This window comes from Homo sapiens, chromosome 8 (genome assembly GCF_000001405.40).
Source record: "Homo sapiens chromosome 8, GRCh38.p14 Primary Assembly".
NCBI classification, from domain to species: domain Eukaryota; kingdom Metazoa; phylum Chordata; class Mammalia; order Primates; family Hominidae; genus Homo; species Homo sapiens.
In genome coordinates this window covers 68,282,721-68,310,461 of record NC_000008.11, presented here as the reverse complement: position 1 = coordinate 68,310,461, position 27,741 = coordinate 68,282,721, and the positions used below count along the sequence as shown (strand labels likewise).

The following is a 27,741-nucleotide window of genomic DNA, read 5'->3' as shown; positions in this document are numbered from 1 at the left end:
TTTCAAATACAGACAAAATATATTTAAATTTGATTTTACTTAATACTTTAAATATAAAATAATTTTAAGATACATTATGTTTTATGATAAAAGAATTTTTTAAATTATAATAGGAAAAAAGAAAAGTCCTGGAGGAGAGAAACAAAGTTTTGATTATGAGGAACTGCTGCAATCTCACTTTGATTCTATTGAAGGGTACAGCAAGGGAGAATGGCAATAAATTATTTAGGAAATATGTGTTCAGGGTAGAGCACAGATAGCATCATACATCAAGGAAAGAAGTTTAAGCTTTATTTTGTAGGCAGCGGGACAGAGTGATGTTTTTCAGCTTAAGGTGACCTGCTCAGACTAGAGTTTTATGGAAATCAATCCTGTAACAACTAATGTCCCTGATATATTTTGTTTGATCTATACACAACACAATATAGCACATTTACATTTCATTTCTTCTAAATAAATTCAGTACTCCATAAAAATTTATTCTATACTTACTTGTGTACTTTTCATATTTTCACTACTCTCAAGTCAATTCCTTGAGGAGAAAGAGATCTAGAAAATATCACTGAGTTTTCTTACATGAAAAAAATTATTATAAAATATACATTGCTTCACTTAACTTTATGCTTACAAGTTTATGACTAGTAGGCTTAACTTTTCCGTTGGAAAAAAATCAAGATTATTATATTTTATGACATGAATTTTGTAACTGCCCAATGGGTTCTTCCTCCCCACTGCACACACAAAATCAGCTCACTGAGACTATGGCATTGCGGTAAAAAAAAGAGTTTCATTGATGCAAGGCCAGCTGTGCCACACGGGAGATGGAGTTATTACTCAAATCGATTTCCCCAAAGGCTTGGAGGTTAGGGGTTTTTCAAAGATAGTCTGGTGGGCAGGGGGCTAGGATAGGGTGCATGCTGATTGGTTGGGTTGGAGATAAAATCAAAGGAATGGAAGCTGTCCTCTTGTGCTGAGTCAGTTCTTGGGTGGGGGCCACAGGGCTGGTTGGTGGGTCTAGGTGGGGCCGTCCAGTTGTCAGAATTGCAAAATTCTGAAAAGATATCTCAAAAGGCCAATCTTAGGTTCTATAACAGTGATGTTATCCGCAGGATTAACTGGAGAAAGTGCAAATCTTATGACCTCCAGAATAACGGCTGGTAATTATTGAGAATTTAAGCCCCTCTTATCCTCCTAACTTGGTAGTCTTTCATTTGTTTTATAAGAACAGTTTAGTTTCGGGAAGGGCTATTATCATTTAAACTATAAACTAAATTTCTCACAAAGTTAGCTTTGCCCACATGCAGAAATGGACAAAGAGAACCAATCTCTAAGGCTAGAAGCAAGATGGAGTCAGATGTCTCTTTCCATCATAATTTTGCAGAGACAGTTTCAATTTGAGCTAGAAGAATGAATGTTCTTTCTCAACAATAGAGAACATGCTTGATGGTATTCTTTAATATAACTACACTTAAATTTTATTTTCTTATTCATTAAACAGTTAAACAGCTTTATAAGACATGATGAAAGCAGCCATCCCCTAGTTCCTTCTTCACCCTGATCTGTGATCTCCAGAGGAAATGATGTTCAACTCATTTTTTTCTGGTATTTATTATCAAATTCCTCAACGATAATATAGAATATTGTTTCTTAGTTTTTTCAATAGTAGTATCTACTGACTTCATACTATGGAAGATGAGGATTGAGTTCTATAATGTACCCTTTCCTATAGTCACCCACTGTAGTTATTGATCTTTTTTATTAATATTCAATTTGACATTATGATTTGCATATAATAATCCATAGCTGAACCACACACTCATTAATGAAGGAGCCTTTTTTGTGTAACACTTTTGTTGCTTCACTTTAATCAAGTCCTATTGCTTGTTTAATTCCTTTCTTATGTACCTTCCACTGATTTTTGCCCAAACTCCCACCCATTCATCTAAATAAAACTCCCCACAACCTGTTCATAAACAACAAGCAAATGTGATTGTTTTGTTTCTTAGAACAATCCTTCTAGAGTCCTTGGATACCCTTGCTCTAATTGGGAAAATTTGCTTCCTGGGACAGCTCCTCTTCATTATACTAGGATTTCCTTTCACCATCATCTCAGGAATTCACTTCACTCCACTCTAAAGTCAGATTTCCTGTTTCCCAGAAAACAGTTCATATTTCTTTCTTTATTGGTTTACAAGTTTACTTCAGGTGAGCATCACAGTAAATTACTGACAAAGTGTGCATGAAAGATCAATTTTTTTGAGACTTTTGCATCTTTTTAAATGTTTTATTATTATAATCCCACCACTTGACTATTTGATAATACAATGCTAAATTGGAAATAATTCAGAATTTGAAAGGCATAATTCCATCATCTTTTGACAATAGTGCTGTAACACCATTCCAATCCCCAGTTTTTTGTTGACAACTTGCTTCCACCCCCTCCTCACCCACCCTCCCCACTCTGCCCTACTTCATCTTTCCATCCCCTACTCCATGTTCTGGAAGCTTTCCAAATAAAGTCTCTGTCCCTGGGTTCTGAAATGTCTTGGTAGGGGTAATATCTTTCCTCAATCACTGTGATAGTGTTAGAGTAGGTAGTTAGCCAGACATGAGCAGGACAGGAGAGGGCCCCCCACCTCACCAGGAATGTCAGGTGACTATCAGGTTATAGTCAGGTGGTTATTAAACTCTAAAATAATAAGTGGTAGCGGCCAGCACCAGGAAGAGCTGTCTCCCAATAGACAAAAAACACCTGAAGCTGGTGATCAGCAGCTTCCCATTAAGATCTTAGGAGTTGGGTGATTGGGCTCAAGCATGCGCACTAAGAGGCACAGTAGTAGAGTTTAACTGGTATATGACCTTCCTCTAGGAACACTTGACTGGTAAGGGAAAAACACCTCAAGTGAGCATGCGCACAACTTCAGTAAACACACTGCATATGTGGTGCCTCCCAAGTGCTGGCAGGCCACTGCACATGCAGACAGCCCATCCCAAGGGAAGAATCAGAGAGAAGAGACATAAAACCCTGGAAGCATGCCAACATATAAAACCCCACGTCAAGGACTAAATGGCACACTTGGATCTCTCAAGTCACCTCCATGGTCCTCTTCCAAGTATACTTAACTCTCTTTCATTCCTGCTCTAAAACTTTTTAATAAATATTCACTCCTGCTCTAAAACTTGCCTTGGTCTCTCACTTTGCTTTATGGTTCTCATATGAATTCTTTCCTCTGAAAAGGCAAAAATCAAGTTACTGCAGACAAATATGGATTCATCCCTGCTTACATACTTTGGTGCTGTTGTTACCAAAACACCAGGGGTTCGGTCTAGGTCCTGCTACTTGCCACACAGAAAGCCAAGCCCTAAGATGACAACTATTGACAAGGAAGAAGGCTTTAATCAGGTGCTGCAGCTGAGGAGATGGGAGCTCAGTCTAAATCCATCTCCCTGACCCACTAAAACTAGGGGTTTATATAGAAGGGAAGAAATGTAACAATGTAAGAGAACAGGAACTAGGGAGGGGCAAGGAAGCAATAATGTTGAATGATAGGTCCTGGCATCTGATTGTCTGGATGTGGTAATCTGGTGAATTTTAGTTCCTTGATATTTTTTTTTTGAGAGGCCTGAAAGTTGTTTCCTGAGGAAGGAACTCAGATAAAACAAATATAAGTTTTAAGTTTTAAGACCAAAAGTGTCAATTCCTATGTTTATCAAGAAGAACTGTCTATGGGACAATTGGGTCAGGTTCACCATGACTGGGATACTGCATGGGATGGGTTTGTGAGAGCACCAGGTATCCTAAGGGAAACTTTGGAGGGAACCAGCTACCAGATGGTTTGATTAGTCTTTTTTCCTATACCCAGGTTGGACACCTAATTTGCACATCAGGACTGCCATGGACCATGGTGCAATGAAGGTGAAGACTGGAGCACTCATCACCCACGGTGGGTTCCCAAGGACTCTCCACTCTACTGAGGGAATACCACCAGTCTACCACTGGTCTGTATCTCCTGCCACGCTGGGGAGGTGGAGCATGAGCACAGGTGTTAGGAAATGAAAGATTGTGAACTATGCCTGGGCAAGATGAAGCCAGAGGAAACTGGTGGAGGTCCGCAATGGTCCTGATGGGCAAATCGATTGTCCAACCTGGATATAGGGATGAAAGACTAATTGAATCATCTAGTAGCTGGTTCCCTCCAAAGTTTCCCTCAGTATAGCTGGTGCTCTCACAAAACCCATCCCATACAGTTTTATCCAAGTCACAGCACCAAAGTATGTTAGCAGTGGTGAATCCATATGAGTCTGCAGCAACTCAATTCTTCCCTAGTCAGAAGAAAGAATTCATCCGCAGAGCATAAGTCAGAGTGAGAGATGAAGGCAATTTTTACAGCAGGAGCGAAAGTTTATTTAAAAGTTTTAAAGCAGGAAAGAAAGGAAGTAAAGTACACTTGGAAGAGGGCCCACTGGGCAACTCCAGAGTTCAAGTGTGCCATTTAGTCCTTGACTTGGGCTTTTTATATGTTGGCATGCTTGTAGGGTTTTGCATTTCTTCTTTCCTGATTCTTCCTTGGGGTGGGCTGTTTGCATGTACATGCCAGCACTTGGGAGGGGCCCCATGAGTAGTATGTTTACTGGAAGTTGTGTGTATGCTCACTTGAAGTGTTTTCCCCCTTATCAGCTGAGTGTTCCTGGAGGAAGGTTATATGCCAGTTAAACTCCACCATTATGCCTCTTAATGTGCATGCTTGAGCACACTGAACTAACTCCTGAGATCTTATTGGGAAACTGCTGACCACCACCTTCAGGTGTTTTCTATCTATTGGGAGACTGCCTTTCCCCGGTGCCAGCAGCAACCAATTATTATTTTAGAGAAACAGTTTAACAACCACCTGACTAGCACCTGATGGTCATCTGACATTCCTGGTGGGGTGGGGGGCTTCTCCTGCCCTGCTCATGTCTGTCTGGCTGTCCACTCTAATAATAGACACATAGTCCTTTCAGTCTAGGAAAGTACATTCTTTCCTACCTGTTGTGGGACATTTTCTTCTGTTATTTCTTTGGTAATTTCCTCAGAAACATTTTTTCAATTCTCATCGTCTAGATTACTACTTAGATGATGTTGAATCCTTTTGCCTAATGCTATATTTTCTTATCTTCACTCTTCTATTTTTCCATCTCTTTGTCTTTTGGGCAGATTGTCTCAACCTAAACTTCCCATCCTCCTGTTGATTTTATGTGTATTTAGGAGATGGGATTTACTATTTGAGAGCATTTTGTTGTCATAAGGTTCCTTATTTATTTTGCCTTTTCTTTTGTAAATTGACAAATAAAAATTGTACATATTTATGATATATAGCATGATATTTTGATATATGTATACACTGTGGAATGACTAGTCAAGTGAATTAACATATCTATTACCACACATACTTACCATTTTTTGTAGTGAAAGAACATTTAAAATCTACTCTCTTAGCAATTTTCAAGTATACAATACATTCTTATTAATTTTACTCACTGTGATGTAGAATAGCTCTCTTCTACTTACTTCTGCTAACTGAAACTTTGGATCTGTTGACCAACATCTCCTCAACTCCTTCGTCCTTCAGCTCCTGGTAACCATAATTCTACTCTCTATTTCTTGTTTCTTTTTGAGACAGGGTCTCACTTTGTTGCCCAGGCTGGAGTATAGTGCCCTGATCACAGCTTGCTGCAACCTCAAGCTCCCATGCTCAAGCAAGCTTCCTGCCTCAACTTCCCAAGTAGCTGAGACCACAGGCATGCTCCATGACACCTGAACTCCTGAACTCAAGCGATCCTCCTGCCTCAGCCTTCCAAAGTGCTGGGATTACAGGCATGAGCCCCTGAACCCTGCCTACCCTCTGTTTCTATGTGGTGTTTGTCTTTCTAAGCCTGGCCTATTTCGTGTAACATAATTTCCTCCAGATTTATCCATATTGTCTCAAATGACCAGATTTCTTTCTTTTTTAAGGCTGAATAGTATTCCATTGTACATATATACTACATTTTATTTATCCATTCATCTGTTGATGGACACTTAGGTTGATTCCATATCTTGGCTATTGTGAATAAGCTGCAATGAACATAGGAGTGCAGATACTGCTTTGACATATTCATTTCATTTTCTTTGGATATGTATCCAGAAGTGGAATTGGGCTGGAATATAGGCAGTTCTATTTTTAATATTTTGAGGAAACTCCATATTACTTTCCATAATAGCTGTGCTAATTTACATTCCCACCGCCAATGTATAAGGGCTTCCTTTTCTCCACATCCTCTCCAACACTGGTTATCTCTTGTCTTTTTGATATGTTTTCTCTTCTCTGTAAAGCTATTGGTTGTAGCATTTTACTTTTTCCAAATTTTTTTAATCAAACTTTTGAAATGTATAGCTGAAATGAAAGAATTTTAGCATGAATGCTAATATACACTCAGCACCTATATTCTTGCTTTTTCATGTATTTACTCCTGAATTAATATATTACTTGTTATATGCTTTTGAAAGTAAACTGCAAACAAGTGCATGCTTCTCCTAGATCTTTCCACATGCTCTGCCATTAATTAGAGTTCAATGTTCAATTTTTTCCTTTTGATGTACAATTAATACACAATTAATTTACACACACATTTTACTTAGTTCTGAAAAATGTATATACTTTTATAACTCAAAGCCCATCATTATACAACATTACTATCACCCTAGCAAAATCTTTTGTGTCCCTTCTCAATCACCAATCCTGACCACACCCCAAGAAAACTACTGTTCAAATTTTTCTCCATCATTGATTGGCTTTGTCTGTTTTAGAACTTCATAAAACTAAAATACTGTAGTAAATTATGTACAATTTTATGACTAGCTTCCTTTGCTCAATATAATGTTTTCGAGATTTATTCATATTGCTGCATGTCAGTAGTTGGTTCTTTTTATTGCTGCATATTTCATTGAATAAAAATGCCAAAGCTTGTTTATTCATTCTTGTCTCACATCAAAGTATCTGGGGGATGTTTTCCACTTTTGGCTATTAGAAATGAAACAGATTTGAATATTGTCGTACAGGCTTTTTATGCATATATATGCCTTCTTTGAGTAAATACCCAGAAATTATGTTACTGGATCATAGGTTAATATATGTTTAGTTTTAGAAGAAAATGCTACCTCTTTTTTCCAAAATATTGTCCCATTTTACACTCCCAGCAGTAATGTATGAGATTTCCAGTTGCTGCACATCCTTACCAAAAATTAGCTTTTCTAATTTTAGTCATTGTAAGGGGTGTGTAGTGGTGGCTCTATGTAGTTCTAATTTGCATTTCTCTAATGACTAACGATGTTAAACATATTTTTATGTACTTGTTTCATGTACTTGTTGATATGTCTATTCAATTCCTTTCACCATTTTTATGGAGCTGTTTTTTTATTATTGAGTTGTAGGATTTCTTTATATATGCTGCATACCAGGCCTTTGTTATATACATGCTTTGCAATGTACATTGTCTTAAAATCTGTGGCTTGCCTGTTCAATTCATTAGTGGTGTTTTGTTAAGCAGTTTTTAATTTTGATGAAGTGTAACTTATTCATTTTTTATTATGGTTATTGCTTTATGTTTCAGGTCCCAAATTTTGCCTTCTCACAAATCACAAACATTATCCTATGTTTTCCTTCAAAAATTATATGGTTTTATGTATTTTCAATCTCAAAATATTCTCTAATTTTTTTGCTGATTTATTTACTAAAGAAATTTGAGGGATTTGCTATAATGTTAGGGATTTTTCTAGATGCCACATTGTTATTGATTTCTAATTTAATTATATTATGCTCAGAAAACATATTCTGTATGCTTTCAACACTTTTAAATTTATTGAGACTTGTTGGAGGGTCCAGCATATAATCTATCTCAGTGAACACACTGTATTTACTTGAAAAGATGTATATTCTGCAGTTATTCAGTGTAGTGTTCTATAAAATCATTTAGGTCAAGGTGGTTGATAGTTTGTTCAAATCCATCTACGTCTTCATTAATTTTATTTATCTGGCTCTATCAATTGCTAAAAGAATGTTGTTAAAAATTGTCAACTATGATTTTAGAATCATTTATTTCTCCCTTTGATTAATGAATGTTGTTTCATGAATTTTGAAGCTATTCAGAGACAAAAAAAAACTATTTATGAATATTGTCTTCCTAAATGAACTGATGATTCTTTTGGCATTATGAAATGTGTGTCTTTATTTCCAGTGTTAATTCCTTCCTGAAGATCAGCAGGGTGATATGTTATCATTTACCTAAAACGTGAAGAATTTCCGTTAGCATTTCTCAAGGAGATAGTCTACTGGTAAAGAATTCTCTTTTTCTTTTTCTAAAAATGCCTTTATTTTGCCTTCTTCATCTTTGCTGGTTGAGAATTGGTTGTTAGATTTTTTTTTCTGTTCTTTCAGGACTGTAATTATGGTGTATTGCTATACTGTTCACCTTTATTGAATGTGTTGTTTTTCTCTGGATGCTTTCAAGATTTCCTCTTTATTTTTTGGTATTCAGTGCTTTCATTAGGATGAGCCAAAATTTAGTTTTATTTTTAATTTTTCAACTTGAAGTTTGCTAATTTTTTAAAAAGCCTATTGAGAGGTAGATTTGACATACAATAAGCATCACATATTCAAAATGTATATTTGGATCATTTTGATACATATACACTCAGGAGATCATCACCACAATGAAAGCAATGAACGTATCTATTACCCTAGAATGTTTCCTTCTGCCTTTTAGTAATTCCTCCCACATTCCATCTGATTCACAGGCTCCCACTGATCTCCTTTCTGACACTATACATTTGCATTTCCTAGAATTTTATAGAAATGAACTCATACATTATGTATACTTTTTGTCTAGCTACTTGCACTGAGACTCAATTATTTCAAGAGTCATACATTATTGTGTGTATCAATAGTTCGTTCCTTTTCATTGCTGAGTAGTATTCTGTTGTATGGATGTACTACAATATATTTATCCACCTGCTGATGGACACTGAGATTGTGTCCACTTTGAGACCACTACAGACAAAGTTGCCATGAACATTCGTATACACTCTTTCTATTTTTCTTGGGTAAATGCCTACAAGTGGAATGGCTGGGCCATATTGTAGAAGTATGTTTAACTGTTTAAGAAATTACCAAACTGCTTCTAAACAGATTGTACCATTTTACATTCCCAAGAAAAGTGTTTAAGAGTTCCAGTAATTTCATATCCTTACCAGCATTTGGTATGGGCAGTCTTTCTCTTCACCTTGGTAAGGAAAAAATGAATTTAATAGTACTTAACAGTTCTATATGATTTTATCGCCAATGTAGTTTCATGTATTAAAATTGTTTTGTTTTCTGAGACAGGGTCTCATATTGTTGCCAAGGCTGGAGTGCAGTGGTGTAATCTTGGCTCACTGCAACATCTGCCTCCCAGGCTCAAGCAATTCTCCCACCTCAGCCTCCCAAGAAGCTGGGACTACAGGTGTGCACACCATGCTTGGCTGATTTTTGTATTTTTTGTAGAGAGAAGGCTTTGCCATGTGGCCCAGGTTAATCTTGAACTCCTAGACTCAAGTGATCCACCTGTCTCAGCCTCCCAAAGTGCTGGGGTTACAGGTGTGAGCCACTGTGCCCAGCCTAAAATTGTTTTTAATAACTTTAAAATTTGATCACAAAAATAATGTATTATAGAAAATTTCAAAAATATCAAATGATGCAAAAATACCTGTAATTGTGTCACTTAGTCATAATGCTTGTGAACATTCTAGACTTCTTATTTAGATATACATGTTTTTAAAAAGTGGATTCTAGTTCACACGCTGTTTTATAATCCTACTTTTTTCTTAATACTAAATCATGGACTCTTGAAGTCATGAAATATTATTCCACTATGCCTTATCTTTAGAGGACATAGAGTTTTCTGTCACATGGCAATGCCGTGTTTTATAATATCAGGTTCCTGTTTTCAGACATTTAGGTTGTTTCTGGGTTTTCACTTAAAAAAATATGGTAAAATACACATACCATAGTATTTACCATATTAACCATTTTTAAGTATAAAATTCAGTGTTAAGTATATTCACATTGTTGTGTAACCAATCTCCAGAATTTTTTCATCTTGCAAAACTGAAACTCTTTCCTTATTGAACAACTCCCCCTGTCCTCCTCTCCCCTGCAACTTAGGAAGACCACTGGGCCCAAATGGGTCACTTCTCCTTCACTGTAGCCTGGAAGTGCTCTCAAGTCAGTAAGCTGGAGCAATCATAGTACTGACCTCATTTCTTTTCTGTTATCATTGCCTGATTTTCAGTGTCTTAAAAAGTGTTGCCTTGCATATTTTATCTAATTTCGGGGGTTGCTTTAAATAAGAGGTAAATCTGGTCTCTGTTACTCCATCTTGGCCAGAAGTAGCAGTCACAGCCATTATTTTCCACATATTCTTTTCCCTGATTCTCTTTCCGTTCTTCTTCTGAGACACAACAATATACATATCTAAGACCTTTTGCTATTGTTTCATAGGTCCCTGAAATGCTAATCCTCTTTTTCTTCTATCTTTATCCTTTTCCTTCTTCTGATTAGATAAATTATACTGATTTATCTTCAGGGGTTACTTACCCTTTATTCTGCCATCTCCTTTCTGCTGCTAAACTTGCCCAGTAAATTTGAATTTCAAATATATTTTCAATTCTAGAATTTCCATTTGGTTCTATCTCTCTTCTAACAATTCCTATCTTTTTATTTATCGTGAGTGAGTGGATTTCCCTTCGTTTCATTCAGTGTAGTTGTGCATCCATTCTAAAATCCTATCTACCATTTCCAACATCTTGGTCACTTTGGGGTTCAATCCTTTTTACTGCCTTTTCTTTTGAAAATGGGTCATATTTTCCTATTTTGCTTTGGTAATTCTGGATTGCATTCTGGACATCATGAATTCTGTAATTTAGAAACTCTGGGTTCTTCTAAATTTCTCCAAAAGGTGTTGAGTTTTTATTTGCAGGGAATTGACTTGGTTTGTCTCAAACTGAACATATGCTGCTTACAGTTTTCTTTATGTATGCATGGATAGGGTGACCATAATTTTTTTTCAAAATTTATGTATGTAGAATTTGGGGTTCCCCTCCTTTACTCACACATTTCCAGGATTTTTCCTTCACTTTCCATTATCTCTCATATATCTGAACTCTGTTCTTTGTTTCTTCAAGCCAGAAAAATGTTTTTTTTTCTGATGTTTTAGCCACTCAGTATGTTGCCAACTTCTGATTACCCTTAAGTAAAAAACATTTTTAAAAAGGTAGAGAGGAGAGTCCCTTCTTCCAAATGTCATTTCTCCTGTGGAATCCACCTACTTCTGTTCACTCTCTACTGTTTTCAGGTAGTTGTTTTCCATATATTGTCCAAGGATTATAGGTATCATATGATACCTATCAACTACATTAACACATATAAATTATATATTATATGTGCTCAGCCTAGTAGTAAATTCCTTGGGCCCACACTGGAAGTGGTATCTCTAGTAATTTATTTTTAAAGTTTTCCACTACTCTGCATTCTCTCTCTTTCCTTTGAAAAATTTACCATATTTATTACTTTTGGACCCTCTTTCATATTAAAAACTTGATCCTGAGTTACCCTTTCATTTTCAAAATTAATGAACTAAGAGGCAGATTAGAAGGTCTGCCATGGTGACTAACCTGTTAAGTAAGTAATAAATGCAGTTCTGCTAAGACTTTCTGATTATTTTGATGGAAGGCCCTCAAATGTGCATACCTAGAAGTCCTTGGGTGGCTGGTCAGTACCTGGTCATGTATTTCCTGATACCATGCTTATACTGAAAATATATTAACTAAGGTGATTGCCAATCACATAGATACAGATCTTTAATGAAGTTCCTTCTTCAAATGTATTGCATATGCTTTGAGTACATATGTTTTTCTCTGTGAATACTTACTGTCGACTAAATTAGATATTTCAGTTTAAATATAAATCCTTCAAGTCCTTAAAAGTTGTTTTAAGTCTTAGGTGATGGCATGATACTCCAATCACCTTTATTTTCACTGGAACTTCATTTATCCTTGGTAAGAGAGGCTTCTTTCTTATATATATATCCGATGTTACAGTCATACCAAGTGACATCTACTTTGTCACATAGATCTTAGTTTTTCACACTTTCATTACATGACACAGAATATTCTTTCTTCCTAAAATGTCCCTTTCTTTCTCTATTTATTTACTTTCCCTACACTCATCTCCTCTTCTGTGAGTGGTTCTGACTTTTCCAGACAAACTCACTCTGACTCACCCCTTCTGTGCTTACCTCAAATAGTACATTTACCTCCAACAAGTATTTACTTGTTGTTTTGCCTTCTAATATTTTATATATATCTATCTCCCTTGCTAGCTTGTGAATTCTGTAAAGGCAGGGGCTAACACATTTTATGAAACTGCTTTACCAACTGAAAAAATCTTCAGTTATGACCAAAAAGATCCATACCAGTCACATTCCACATTCAATCTATCTGTTGCAAGAGTCAGATTGCCCCATTTCAAAACTTATACTTTTATTATTATAGAATAGCATTTAGTTGAAAAGTGTGTGTGTGTGTGTGTGTGTGTGTGTGTGTGTGTGTGTAGAGGGGTGCTCCTTATCAACATCTTGGGAAAGTAGTAACTAAAGTTATTTTATATTCAAGTATTTAAAATTCTAAGTTATGATAATTTAGAGCCTCATTCTGTAAACTCAAATGCATTCATTATAGGTAACACAGAGTCTGTTACCCTTTATGCTACAGTGATTTCTGTTGTGAAATTTAATATGAGTGAGATGCTTGTTTCTATAATGAATTTGCAAATATGTGTTTCTATTTCAAAAAGTAGTGTATTCATGTGTGCAGGTGTCAGCTGGATAAATATATATAACAGCTTTTTAAGTATTATAGATTTTACTTAATGATGGAGATGGAAGGAGTACTGTAATATGGGGAAGCTTATGCTTCAATTATAAGTGACAAACTCTGGGCCTGTTATATAGAGTAAGCCCAAATCTCTTCCAGATCTTCATGTTACTGAACTATTTGAAGGAGAATCCAGCAGCTGTTGTGTGAATCTGCTGAAGCATTAGAAAAAAAAATATTCTCCATGTAAATTTAACTTAAAATTCTATAGAATTCTTTAGGGATTGCAAATAGATACAATAAATCATAGCTATAAGAAACAACAAAATAAAGAAGTGCTCTTATGGCTATCATGAGATTGCCCTATGCAACAACTTCAGAGATCTGAAAATACATGCAAGTGTAATTATATGTGTCTGTCTTTATTTTAAATATGTCTAGTGTAAGTTTCATCACACTCAAATAAAATACATCTCCCAAAATTAGATGACACCAATTTCCTGAGAATTCTTACAAATTTACTCACCCAAAAAGTGAAGAAAATAAAAATTTAACCTTGAGAATGTTTCCTTAAACCAAATGGAGTCTGGAGAATCAAAGAATAAAGAATAAAGGGTGAAGCAGAATCAAAACAATGCTAGTATAATAAAGGTTTTGCTGGCAAACTTAATAAATTTTATGACAATTTAATAAATTGAAGGCAGGAAGACCAGGATACTTACTGTAAACCTTTTTTCACCTTCAAGTCTGGCCAGGATTACCAAACTTCTTTGATGACTAGAATGAGCCCAGGCACTTAACTATAATAACTCCCCTGGAAACCCTTACTTCAGTTGGCTTGGTGGCCCCTAGTGTAACCAGCAGTGAATCAGTACAGGTCTGTGGCAAACTCAATCCCTGCCATCTTAGAGGAAAGAACTCGGCTGAGGGGCAGAAGTAGGGTATAAGGTAGAGGGAGAAACTGAGGCAAGTTTTATAGCAGGCGTGAGAGTTTATTTTAAAAGTTTTAGAGCAGGAGCGAAAGGAATCAAAGTGGACTTGGAAGAGGACCAAGCAGGTGACTTGAGAGATCCAAGTGCCCTGTTCAGCCCTGGACTTGGGGTTTTACATTGGCATGGTTCCAGGGTTTGTGTTTCTCCTCCCTTGAGCCTTCCCTTGGGGCAGGTTGTTGCTTAACTGCCACTCGCACAGTGTTGGTCAGCATTTGGGAGGATGACTGTATGTGTAGTGCATTTACTGAGGTTGTGCACATGCTGTCTACGGGTGATTCACCTTTACTGGTCAAACACTCCCAGAGAAGGTCATACATCCACTATTTTGCCTGTTAGTGTGAATGCTTAAGCCCACTTGCCCAACTCCTGAGATCTTATCAGGAAGCCGCTGATCACCACCTCCAAGTGTTTTCCATCTATTGGGAGACTGCCTTTCCATGGCACTGGCTATGACCAATGATCATTTCAGAGACATAGTTTAACAACTGCCTGACCATCACCTAATGGTCACCTAACATTCCTGGGTGAGGAGCCCTCTCCTGCCCTGCTCATGTCTGACTAGCTACCTACTCCAGAGCCAGGAATCTGATTTTAATTAGTAATCCTGATACAAATTTACTCACCTGAAAAGTGAAGAAAATAAAAACCTAACCATTAGAGAAGTTAAGAAACATTGTGACATGCACCATAATTCTAGATGAAATTTAGTGGATGCCCATCATCTTTTCTTAAGCCAATTTAGTAAGTACAGCTCTCATGACTATCACAATAATGACATTTTGGACTTTAAAAGTTGAAAGTGGTCATTTATTTTCAGATGTGGAAGGTCCTAGATTTCAGTGCTCCTGGAAGCTCTCAGACTGTGGTCCCATCTTCTAGCCATAATCCATAAAACTAATTAAAATATCTTGTAGATAGACAGAGTGATAGGTGGATGTACAGATAGATAGATAGACATATAAAAGATTACTGGGAGGAACTGAGGACTCTATTTAAGTGTCAGGAAAGAACTGTAATAAGTGCTGTAGAGAGCCGTAGGTGTCAGGATGGTCAAATAGGTAACAATGAAGCCTTTAATCCCTTACTCTGACAGTGTAAGGACTAGATCAAAAGCAGAAAGTAGACAGTGGCTTTCCCAGTCTTCCATTTTTCCCCCCATGGAACAGCACCAACAGAGGAAGAGATGTATTGGCACAGGTGGGAGGAGTGGGAGCAGGATCCTTTCACTGCCCAGGAAGTTCTGGAAAAAAGGCTCCTGCCATTTTACAAATCCTGAGAAGGGAGGGCTAGGAGTACAAAAGTACTGAGTCAGAATAGAGAAAAGTTTCTTCAGGGCCTTCCCATAAGTAGGTCTCAACAGAGGTGCCTAATCAGTTTCAGTTGAGTATCCCTGCTGCCCCAAGTAATGTCTTAGAATGGAGACACCTAGGCTAGGAATGCAGATATAGTAAGGTTATGGTCAGCGGGAGGCAGGGGAAAGGGTGTTAAAAGGAGAGAGGGGAGTTGAACAGGAGCTGAGTCTCTGACTGCAACTCTCTCCAGAGGCTGCAATGCACTGGCTGTGCAGAAAGCCTAGGGTGAGAGGGGCAGCTTGCCCCAATGAGGAAGCCAGGTAAAACCTTTGTCATTGCCCATGGTTAGATCTGAATGATCACACATAAGATTTTGGCCTGGAGGCTGACTCCCAAAATGCCAAAATAAATCATTGGCATTTTCCTCAAATTGAAATGTTCTCTTCTAAGAAATAGATCTGTCTGACCTCATCTAGAAAAAAAATCAAATGATTTAATGAGTCATACAGATCACTTTATAGCCTTGTAGTTAATATTAAGCTAAATGAATCGTTGCCTTATTTGGAAGTAATACTGTTTTAAATATTAATTCACATGCACTCATCTAAATAATAAAAGAATAATAATGCTATACAAATATAGTCAACTGATCTTTAATAAAATTGCAAAAGTACTTCAATGGAAAAAGACAGCCTCTTTAATAATTTGTACTGCTAAAATTCCACATCTATATGCAAAAACTATAAAGCTTCTTGAAGAAAACATAGAAGAAAAACTTTGAAACCTTGCGTATTAGTTTGCTCAGGCTGGCATAACAAAATACCACAAACTTGGTGGCTTAAATAATAGATATTTATTTTCACACAGTTCTGGAGGCTGAAAGTCCAAGATCGAGGTGTTGGCAGATTTGGTTTCTCCTGAGGACTCTCTCTTTGGTTTGTACATGGCTGCCTTCTTGCTGTATTCTCATAGGGTCCTTTCTCAGTGTGCATTCATCTCTGATGTCTCTTCCTTTTCTTATAAGAACACCAGTCACATTGGATTAGTGCCTACCCTAAAGTTCATTAAAACTGGCTATACCAATTGCTAGAGAAGATCAGAGCAACAGATCTTTCATTCATTACTACTGGAAATACAAAACAGTATAGCCACTTTGAAGACCATTTGGCAGTATTTTTTACAAAGTTAAACACAGTCTTATCATATGATTCACCAATTGCACTCTTAGTTATTTACCCAAGTGATTTGAAAACATATCCACACAAAAACCTGCACACAAATGTTTATAGCAACTTATAGCTGCCAAAAACTGGAAGCAACCAAGATATCCTTCAATAGATGAAAGGATAAACAAATTGTAGCATATCCAAACAAAGGAATACTATCTGATGATAAAAAGAAATGCACTATGGCCTTTCCAACTTGGGCCCAGCAGAATGACTCCCACAAAGAAGGGTGGCTGGAAGAAAAAGGGCCGTTCCCCCATCAACGATGTGGTGACAAGAATACATCATCAACATTCACAAACACATCCATGGAGTGGGCTTGAAGAAGCATGCCCCTCCAGCACTCAAAGAGATCTGGAAATTTGCCATGAAGAAGACATGAACTCCAGATGTGTGCATTGATACCAGGCTTAACTAAGCTGTCTGGGCCAAAGGAATAAAGAATGTCCCATATCGTATCCATGTGTGGTTGTCCGGGAAAAGTAACAAATACTTTTGTTACCTATGTACCTGTGTACTGGGATCTTTGGGGTGTTGATTTTCTTCCCAGAAACCTCTGTGGCTGATGGCACCCTTGCCTGAGTTCTTGTCCTGTGTTCCGGAAGAATGAGGTATACAGACAAATGAAGGGTAAACAGGATGAAGATAAGCTTTATTAAGTGTTACAACAACTCGGAGGAGACATGCAGTGGGTAGCTCATCTCTGTAGGCAGGTCATCCGTCCAAGGTTCAGTTCTCAGCAGAGAGGAGGCCCTGGAGAGGGTGGCTCCTGTCCACAGGTAAGTCATTTGGACATCTCTGCAGGTCTCTGAAACTCTCAGCAGAGAGTAGCTCGTCTCTGCAGGTCTCTGAAGTTCTCAGCAGAGACAGTAGCTCCTCTCTACTGGTCTCTGAAGCTCTCAGCAGGGAAAGTAGCTCCTCCCTACCATCAGGTCATCTCTGTAGCTCTCAGCGAGAGGGTACTCCTCTTTGCATCTGGTTCTACTGTCATCTCTCTGCTGTCCTCTCCTCCGGCCATTGTCCTCTGCCCTGGACCTCAGAGGGGAGGAAGTGCCTGCCAATTGGTCCCTGGGCAGCCATAGGGAGCCCAGAAGAGGCACCATGAGTCCCCACTCAGGTCCACGGGACTGGCAGCCTAGCCCGCAGCCTGCAGGCCCTCCCTGGCCTGAAGGTGGGGCTTTACTGGGGACCTGCCCCCTTCATCCCAGGACTCTGTCTGCCTCCCGCTGCCAGTCAAGGCCCTGTGGCTCAGCCCAAGCCCTGCTAGGAGATTGGAGCAGGCACCAGAAGTGGAGAGAGGCCAGACAGTGGGAGCAGACACCCCTGAACCTGCAGGGATGGCGGGGCATCCTTCCTGGGGCCATTGAGAGTGCCGGCTGCAGAGACGCCCGGCTCCTCCGCCTGGGAGGGTGGCCGCAGCAGCACCGGTAGCGGGGCAGATCCTGCCTGCTCCTGCCCCTCCCATGAGAACACAGGGAGGCTCGGAGCCGTGGCTGCAGTTTGGGTGGTTGTAGCCCGCCCAGGAGGATGGGACTCCTGCCTCCTCCATAGAGCAAGACACCTGGGTCTGCAGCTGTGTTTCGGGTGGCTGCAGCGTCACCCGGGGAGCTCTCATCCCAACTGAGAAGGGGCGGGGCTCCCACCGGCTCCATGGAGTGTCCAGCCCCAGCCCCGCCTCTCTCCTGCAGCCAGAATGATGGCAGTGGTCACTTCCATCACGGGTAACCACTTTCAAAAATCTACAGTTAGTGTGGATGAGAACTAACTGCTGATCCTCAAATACATCAAATAAAGTTCTAAAATTACCTTAAAAAAAAAAGCGCACCATCAAGCCACACAAAGACTTGAATGAGTTGAAATATATTTTACTAAATAAAAGAAGCCAGTCTGAAAAGGTTACACACTTTGTGACTTCAACTGTATGATATGCTGGAAAAGATAAAAATATAGAGACAGCTAATAGATCAGTAGTTGGGTTGGATTAAGGGTTGGCAGGGTAGAATAGGTGAAAAACAGGATGTGTGTAAGGCAGTAAAACTATTTATTGTGGTGAATACATGATGCTCTGCATTTGCTAAAACCCATAGAACTTAGCTCAAAGAATGAACCTTAATGCATTCAAATTTTCGTTTTTTTCTTTTTTCCCCCGAGACAAAGTCTTACTCTGTCACCCAGGATGGAGTGCAGTGGTATGATCTCGGCTCACTGCAACCTCTGCCTCCCTGGTTCAAGTGATTCTCCTGCCTCAGCATCCTGAGTAGCTGAGATTACAGGTGCCCACCACCGCGCCCAGCTGATTTTTCTATTTTTAGTAGAGACAGGGTTTCACCATGTTGGCCAGGCTGATCTCGAACTCCTGACCTCATGATCTGCCCGCCTCAGCCTCCTAATGTGCTGGGATTACAGGCGTGAGCCACCATGCCCAGCCACATGCAATTTTTAATGAAATATTTTAGAAGGTTTAGGGATCACGGGATAAAATGCAGAACATGACAAAATAATCTAACTGCATTACATGTATATGAAACAACTTCCCTGATAGAGACAGGGTAAAGTTTCTGACCTAAGTAGCTGGAAACAGGGTGTCAGACCAAAGGCAAACGAACCTCTAGGAAAGCATTGTACTCTAGTTGATCACGTTATTTCCCACAGAGATACAGGTTATCAATTCTACAACATGTATAGATACTTGAACAGGTATATCACCAAAAAAAGATATAGCAAAGACAGTTACACACTTGAAACAATGTTCAACATCACCAGCTATGAGAGAAATAAACCATATCACACACAATAGAATGGCTAAAATAAAAGTTACTCACCATACCAAGTGCTGGTGAGAATACAGAGCAACTGGAACTCTCATATATTGCAGGTGGGAATGCAAAATAGTACAACTACTCCAGAAAACAGTTTGACAGTTTTTTTTATAACATTAAATATAGACTTACCTTATGACCCAGAATTCCCACTCTTTGACATTTACTAGAGGAGTGAAACATTATGTCCATATAAAAACCTACACAGAAATATTCATAGCAGCTCTATTACAATTACCAAGAACTAGAAACAGCTCAAACACACTTCATTGGGTGAATGGATAAACCAACCGTGGTCCATCCATACAGTGGAATACCATTCAGCAATTAAAAAATGGGGAATTTTAAAATACAATTTTAATTAGTGTAAATTTAACTCTAAAAACTGACATTTGATTTAATTATTGGAAAAATGTTAAGGTGTGTTTGGAACAAGTTGGATATGTAAATCTTCTTTCAACTGTACATCTTATAAAATCTAAATACAGATTAAGTGTATCTGATAAAATTTAACTTTCAAATTGAGATGCACTGTAAGTGTAAAATTATACACTAAATTTTGAAGACAGTTTAAAGCAAGCGTATAAAATATCTTTTTTCACCATTTTATGTGGATTATATTTTGAAATGACAATGTTTAAATTCATTTGGAAAAATTAAAATATTAAAATTTTTTAAAATGACATGAACAGTGTAAGTTGTAATGTAGCAAATATAAAGATGCAAGGAAGAATGAATAACAATGGAAATCACAGAATGCTAAAAAGCTTTGGGAAATACAGGAGACGAGAAAAGGATTTAAATGCGAAGATGATTCTGACTAGTCAATCACCGCGATGAAGTTGGTGCTGAACTGATTAGGCTCTGAGGTTCTACTCACCAAATATTAAACCATTTTATCTTTTAACAAATTGGCCTGTGTAGATCATTGAGATTAGCATCTTTTTAAAACTAATGAAAGGGAGTAATCTGAATGTTTCTGTATGCTCATTCAATAATTGCAAGGGGGCCGGGCGCAGTGGCTCACGCCTGTAATCCCAACACTTTGGGAGGCTGAGGCGGGCAGATCACGAGGTCAGGAGATGGAAAACATCCTGGTTAACACGGTGAAACCCCATCTCTACTAAAAAAATACAAAAAATTAGCCGGGTATGGTGGCGGGCGCCTGTAGTCCCAGCTACTCGGGAGGCTGAGGCAGGAGAATGGCGTGAACCCGGGAGGCGGAGCTTGCAGTGAGCCAAGATCGCAACACTGCACTCCAGCCTGAGCAACAGAGGGAGACCAGGTCTCAGAAAAAAAAAAAAAAAAAAAAAAAAAAAATTGCAAGGTCTCTTCAGAAGTTTTATTAGTTGAGATAATCAATTAATATTTTAAAGGCATAAAACCAATTCTTAAGGTGAATCCTTTGTTTTACATTGGTGGGTTCAATTTTTTTAATGTAAGAGAAAGAAAGAAATTAAGGTTACTACAATAAAAGTCTTAATACCATATTTGCATTTTCATTATATGAAATGTTATTTCTCATATGAAATGCAAATTCATATCATGAAAATGCAAATATGGTATGAAGATTTTTATTGTAGTAACCTTAATTTTATCTATATGTTCATCCCATTATCTCTTTATTTTCCTCGAAAGAGGCATTTGTGCTATTTGATAGGAGAATACACAATAGTGCAATACTGAAATCTCTTTTCGTGTATTACTTAAGTCAGAATGACATTCTGATAACTCAATTATTACGGGCATTCTTTTCCAGTGTATACAGTGTATCCAATGAGATTCCACGTTCAAGTCAAATAATAAAACGTGTGTCTTGGTCTATTTCTATAACAATAAGATAATAATTCTTTCAGATCTTTTTTTTAAATCAATGATTAAATCTATCTTACTTTTTCAGGTTCTGATAAAAGACATTCTGTGTCCCAGTCAATAGTGCTGGGAAAAAAGGAACGAAGAGAGTCCAAGTAGTGGATTCAGTATTTATTAGCCTTGTTTTCTCTATAACAAAATGATGCTTCTGCCTTACTTTCTCTTCAATGCCTCCTAGATCAGAACAAGGTTGAGGAGGGAGTAATACATATGAGGGAGCCTTAGAATGATTTATTTATGAGCATGTAATGTGACCCTGCCATTCTTGTGATTATATACGCCACATAAAAAATTTACTGGTTGTTTTTATTTTCCCCTGTAGAAAAGAGAGAGCCAAAGAGGCAAGCTCCAAGGATTACATGGCCAAAATATACTATTTTTTCTTTCATTCATTGAATATTGATAATAAGTTGCAATCTGATTTTATGAGAACATGTATTGCTAAAATAAATGAAAGAATTTGTGCATTTTGAGCGTTTTAAATTTTAATGCTGCTTGTTAAAGGCTGATGATTCACTGGGTTTCTAAAACTAAACTTCTAAAATTTAGTTAAATTAATTAAATAACAATGAAAAGGGAGATGACAGAAAAATAATATTCACAAATGTTTTATTGTTATTATTGTAACTGTAATAGCTTCGTTGACTGCACATGGCAAGTCAATATGCTGAGACACGGGATTGCAGCAGAGAAAGAGGATCAATCATAGGGCTGCCAAATGAGGAGATAGGAGAGAACCTCAGATTTGTCTCCCCCAAGAGTTTGAGGCTAGGGTTGTTAAGGGTTTTGGAGTAGGCCGAAGTGTGAAGATCCTTGATTGATCAAAGAGTGCAGGTGAAGCTGTGGGACAGGGAGTTGAAGAAACTATATTTACTGGAATTCAGAATCTTAAAAACACCTTAAGCAACTCTTAAACAAAAGCCTTATGATTCTAATGTCGGAAATCATATCTATTATAGGAACAATGAGGATGCAAATGGTAAATATCTAGTGCTACATGACTTCTGTGGTCAAGGTGCACCCTGTGAAGTCAAGGTGCACCCTGATTAATGATCAATTATAGCTATATTTCTGTCCAGAATTCTTGTTAACCCTGTGAGGACAGCTTCCTCATTCTTTTGGAGACATACACACACACACACACACACACACACACACACACACACACACACACACGGCAACGATACATGAGAGTACAAAATGAGCACAAAAGGAGAGTACAAATATCAGACCCTGCAATATCTGGACTCTAAACGACTTGTAAAAACTTCTCGTCTCCGATTAAACCAGATTGTTCTGCTTACTATTCTCCAGAATTCTCACCTCTGTACTTTTACTCAAATTATTTGCCGCAGTTAAATACCATCCTCCTCCCTCACCCCAACCTGAAATCCACAAATCTTTCAAGCCTGGATCAAGTGGCACCTCCCCTAACTACACAACTCTCTCTCCCTCTCCTGCCTCTGCACTCATGCCTCATAATCACTGGTGCACACTAATGCAACACCCCAGACAGTGCCCATTCTGATTGGTTAGCTATACTTTTCTTTCTTGTTGGTTAGCTACACTTTCTCACACTATACCAAATGTAACTTTTAACATATTCCTTGTGTGATTAATTTTTAATTCAATGAATATTCACTGAGCCTTTGCTCTGGACACTGAGGATAAAATGGAATAAAAAATCAGACATAGGGCATGATAGCTCATATCTGTAATCCTAGCACTTTGAGAGGCCAAAGTGGGCAGATAGCTTGAGCCCAGCAGTTCAAGAGCAGCCTGGGCAACACAGCAAAACCCTGTCTCTACAAAAATATAAAAAAAATTAGCCAGGCATGGTGGCACACACCTGTAGTCCCAGCTACTCAGGAGGCTGAAGAGGGAGGATCACCTAAGCCCAGGAGGTCGAGACTGCAGTGAGCTGTGATCATGTCACTGCACTCCAGCCTGGGCCAAAGAGTGAGACCCTGTCTCAAAAATATAAAAAATAAAAAAATAAAAATCAATCCAGTTTTTTCCCTCATACAGCTTACAGTCTAGCAAGCTTTTGTTCACATCATTTGACTATGATTCTATTCCAATAATATGCTTTGGATAATTATATTTATACATGTATTGATCTTATGTCTGTAATTATATTTCAGGCAGTTATAGTACAATCTCAACTTTTGCATCAGACATAACGCCCAGAATAGGACTTACAAAACACAGAGTTAAAGAAAACTGGAAGAACAATTACAGAACCATGAAAAAATAGTTGAATTATAAAGTAGGAAATTGACAGGGAGAAGATTGAAGGGTCAAGCCTAAAGTCACAGGGTGAGATATTCTGAGTAAGTGTTTATTGATTTGATGAACTTGAAGAGACCTCTGTTCAAAATCTCATGAGAATCTTTGCCAAACTATTTCCCTCATTTGCTAGTTTATATTTTCCATGTCATTGGTGGTTTATTTAGTAACAGATTTCAGAAACAAATTTTTGATGAATCTCCCTATTTTTACACATGGAAAAATAAGCCATAAAATATCATGAAATATCAGCTGAATATAGACAAGCAATAGCAGCAGCACCAGCAAAACTATACCTAAACTATAACTTGTTTTTTTATGGTGCAGTGAGCAGAGTTATAGTTTACACTGAAGATCAGAGACACACTTGATTAATCAAAACATAGAATCATGAAACAGAATAGAAGCCAGAAACAGACGCACACATGTAAAGTCATCTGATTTTTGAAGCATAGCACCCTCTAAGTTATAAAAATCATGTTTTTAGTTAGTTTAGGATTTCTAGCCTAGGCAAGATGTCATAGACTTCATTTCTCTCTACTCCTCCCAGCTAAGTATGACTACAAATGCTGGAAATAATACACTAGGCAACCAAAGGCAGGATTCTGAAAGGCAGTAAGAGGAAGGAGAACTGAATTGTGACCCCAGGAATGGAGGAACAACAGAGCTGCAAGGCATTTACATCTCCTGACCGCACCCCAACAGAAGAAAGTAACCTGTATTTTCTGACACACAACCTAGCAACAGAAGAGACAGCTCAGGTAGTTTCATTCCTCCCCTAAATCAAATGGGAGTCTCTCCAACAAAACCGGGAAAACTAGTCAAGCCCTGTGTCACTGGCAAATGAAATTCATTAGGAGCCTGGCGAATGAGAGTGGCCAGTGGGAGGACTCATTCCCTGACAGGCCTGGTTCTCTCTCACTCTCGCTGAGAGATTCTGGGTCAGTGGGGTGTCACCTGCAAGAAGAACCCCACCACAAGAAGTGTCCCAGCCCCAGGAGCCTCTTTGTTCCAAGGGACTCAAAACTCCCATTTCCAATCCAGACTCAGTAGGAGGCCCTGAGAGAATATATCTATCACAACAAACACCTGGCCCAGCAAACAACTTCATCATCAAGGGCCTAACACTTCCTTCTCCCATAAAAAGACACCAGGCATCTGGCCTGAGGCAACTCATTTTGTCCTACCAGGCAACACCAGCAGGGGCAAGTGGGGGCCCTAGTGGTACCAAAAGACCAAAAGAACACCACAAAGGCTCTGAAAATTAAAGTGTCATTGGAACCATAGCCTACAAAATTAGACTAGGACCTGCATGCTAAACCCAAACAAGATGACTGCCTGCTAGAAGAAAATATTTAAGGCCGGGCGCAGTGGCTCACGCCTGTAATCCCAGCACTTTGGGAGGCCAAGGAGGGCGGATCATGAGGTCAGGAGATCGAGACCATCCTGGCTAACGCGGTGAAACCCCATCTCTATTAAAAATACAAAAAATTAGCCGGGCGTACTGGCTGGAGCCTGTAGTCCCAGCTACTTGGGAGGCTGAGGCAGGAGAATGGCGTGAACCTGGGAGGCGGAGCTTGCAGTGAGCCGAGATTGTACCACTGCACTCCAGCCTGGGCAACAGAGCGAGACTCCATCTCAAAAAGAAAAAAAAAGTATATATATATATACTATATATATATATAATGTATGTATATATAATATATATATAATGTGTGTGTATATAATATATATATAATGTGTGTGTATATATACATTAAATATATATATATTTAGATAGGATCCAGAATCTTCTAACATAACCAAAATGTCAAAGATACAATAAAAAAATCACAACTTGAATAAGTAAAACTGTCAATGATGTAAATGTTGAGAAGAGTCAGATGTTGGAATTATCTGACCAAGGATTTTATTTATTTATTTATTTTGAGATGGAGTCTCACTCTGTCACCCAGGCTGGAGTTCAGTGGCGCACTCTCGGCTGACTGCAACCTCCCCCTCCTGGGTTCAAGCAATCCTCCTGCCTCAGCCTCCCAAGTAGTGGAGATTACAAGCATGTGCCACCACGCGGGCTAATTTTTATATTTTTAGTAGAGATAGGGTTTCACCATATTGGCCAGGCTGATCTCAAACTCCTGACTTCAACTAATCAGCCCACCTCGGCCTCTCAAAGTGCTGGGATTACAGGCATGAGCCACCGTGCCTGGCCTGACCAAAGCAGCCATCATAAAATCTCAGTGAAATAAAAGAAGTAAAAACAGAAACAAATGGAAATTATAGAAAAAAATAACAAATTAGTAAAAAAACTTATTGGATGGGTTCTATAGCACAGGAGAGATGACAAAGGATAAAGCCAATAAAGTTGAGGGCAGATCACTAGAATTTACTCCATAAGAACAACAGTGAGAAAATAGACTGAAGAACCAACCAACCAGAACCTTACAACCTGTAGGACAATAACGAAATTTCCTGTAGGACAATAACGAAATTACAACCTGTAGGACAATAACGAAATTTCCCACGTCTGTATCATCAAAGTCTCAGAATGAAAGAAAAAACGGAGTGAGGCTAAAAGAGTATTTGAGAATAAAATGACTGAACTTTGCCCAAATTTGGTGAAATAAACAAAACTACAGATTCCAGAAGCTGAATGAACCTTAATCAGGATAAACCCAAAGATTTCAAACAAAGATACATTGGAAAAAATTAAACAGAAGGAAGTGGCACATTTTTCAAGTTCTGGAAAAAAAGAACTGTAAACCACAAAATCTATATCCAATGAAACTGTCTTTCAGGAATGTAGGGGAAATAAAGACATTCTCAGAAAAAGGAAAACTAAAAGAGCTTTTGCCTGTAGACCTACCTTAAAAGGTGGCCCTAAATGAAGTTCTTCATACAGAAGGAAAGTGATAAAAAAGGAAATCTGGAGAATCTGGAAAGAAAGAACAATGAAAAGAACAGAAACATGGGTACATACTATATACTATCCCTTTCAAGAGTTATAGAAATCATGTTTAATGATTGAAACAAAAATTTTAACAGCATCTGATACTCAAGACAATGATATTTAAAAGTGAGGAAGGGAAATAGAAGTAAGGTTTCCATGCACTTAAAGTGGAAAATGTTCATCCAAGTTGACTGTGGTAAGTCACTAATGCATATTGTAATGCCCAAAGCAACCACTAGAAAAATTATACAAAGAGATGCTCTGAAAAACACTATAAATAAATAAAGGTGGAATTCTAAAAAATGTTTAAGTAATTCACAAAATGGCAAAAAAAGATAAAGAAGTGAGAATCAGAATGAACAAATAGAAAACAAATAATAAAATGACAGACTTCAGCTCTAACATCTTAATAATTAACTTAAATGTAAAAGATCTAAATATACCAATTAAAAGACAGAAATTGGCAGGATATATAATAAAATATGACCCAAGGATATGCACTTTACAAGAAACTCACTTTAAATTCAATGACACGGGTAGATTTAAAGTAAAGGGCTGGAAAGAATATACCATGCAAATATTAACTGAACAGAAGGAGAAGTGTCTATATCAATAGCATATTAAGTAGAAATTAGAACAAGGACAATTACCAGAGATAAAGAAAAATATCACATAATGATAAAAATATAAATTCACCATGAAGACATAAGAATCCTAAATGTGTACACATCTAACAACAGAGCTTCAAAATGCAGGAAACAAAATTGACAAAGCAGAAAAGAGAAATAGACAAAATCACAATTAAAATTAGGGGCCAATTATCCATCTTAGCAACTGATAAAACTACAAGGTGGAATATAGGCACAATTATAGGAGCTCTGAACCAACAGAATTCAATTCATATTTATAGAAGAATGCTCAATCCAACAAACACAGAATATAGATTTTCTCAAGTGTCCATAGAGCATTCGCCAAGACAGACCCTATCTTAGGCCATAAAGCAAAGCTCCACGAATTCAAGATTGAAATCAAACAGTGTTCTCTGGTCCTAATGGAATCAAACTAGAAATCACTAAGACACAATAGGAAAATCTCTGAACACAGTTGTATTAGTCCTTTCTCACATTGCTGCAAAGAAATAGCTGAGTCTGGGTAATTTATAAAGAAAAGAGGTTTAATTGGCTCACAGATCTGAAGTTTATACAGGAAGCATATACAGAACCAGCTTCAGCTTCTGCTTCTGGGGAGGCCTCAGGAAACTTACAATCAGGGCAGAAGGGGAAGTGGGAACATCTTACATGGTGCTAGAGTGGGAGCAAGAGGTGGGGGGAGGTGCCACATACTTTTACATGACCAGATCTCATAGGAATTCACTCGCT

General features: G+C 38.1%; 1 long non-coding RNA gene and 1 pseudogene across 1 annotated transcript in view, besides 1 other annotated feature; both read left to right on the top strand.

The window, feature by feature from the left end:
- C8orf34-AS1 (C8orf34 antisense RNA 1) overlaps positions 1-6,994 on the top strand; it is a 28,024-nt gene extending 21,030 nt beyond the window's left edge. The window contains exons 2-3 of the long non-coding RNA NR_038877.1: positions 3,864-3,944; positions 5,661-6,994. This is a non-coding gene — a long non-coding RNA (C8orf34 antisense RNA 1). The remainder of the gene's footprint in view (positions 1-3,863; positions 3,945-5,660) is intronic.
- Positions 3,989-4,189: a silencer, noted in NCBI's record as "peak7063 fragment used in MPRA reporter construct". NCBI's record gives its function as "represses an SCP1 promoter by STARR-seq MPRAs in K562 erythroleukemia cells {active_cell/tissue: K562}" and the evidence as "EXISTENCE:reporter gene assay evidence [ECO:0000049][PMID:32103011]".
- RPL31P40 (ribosomal protein L31 pseudogene 40) lies at positions 16,646-16,925 on the top strand (annotated as a pseudogene).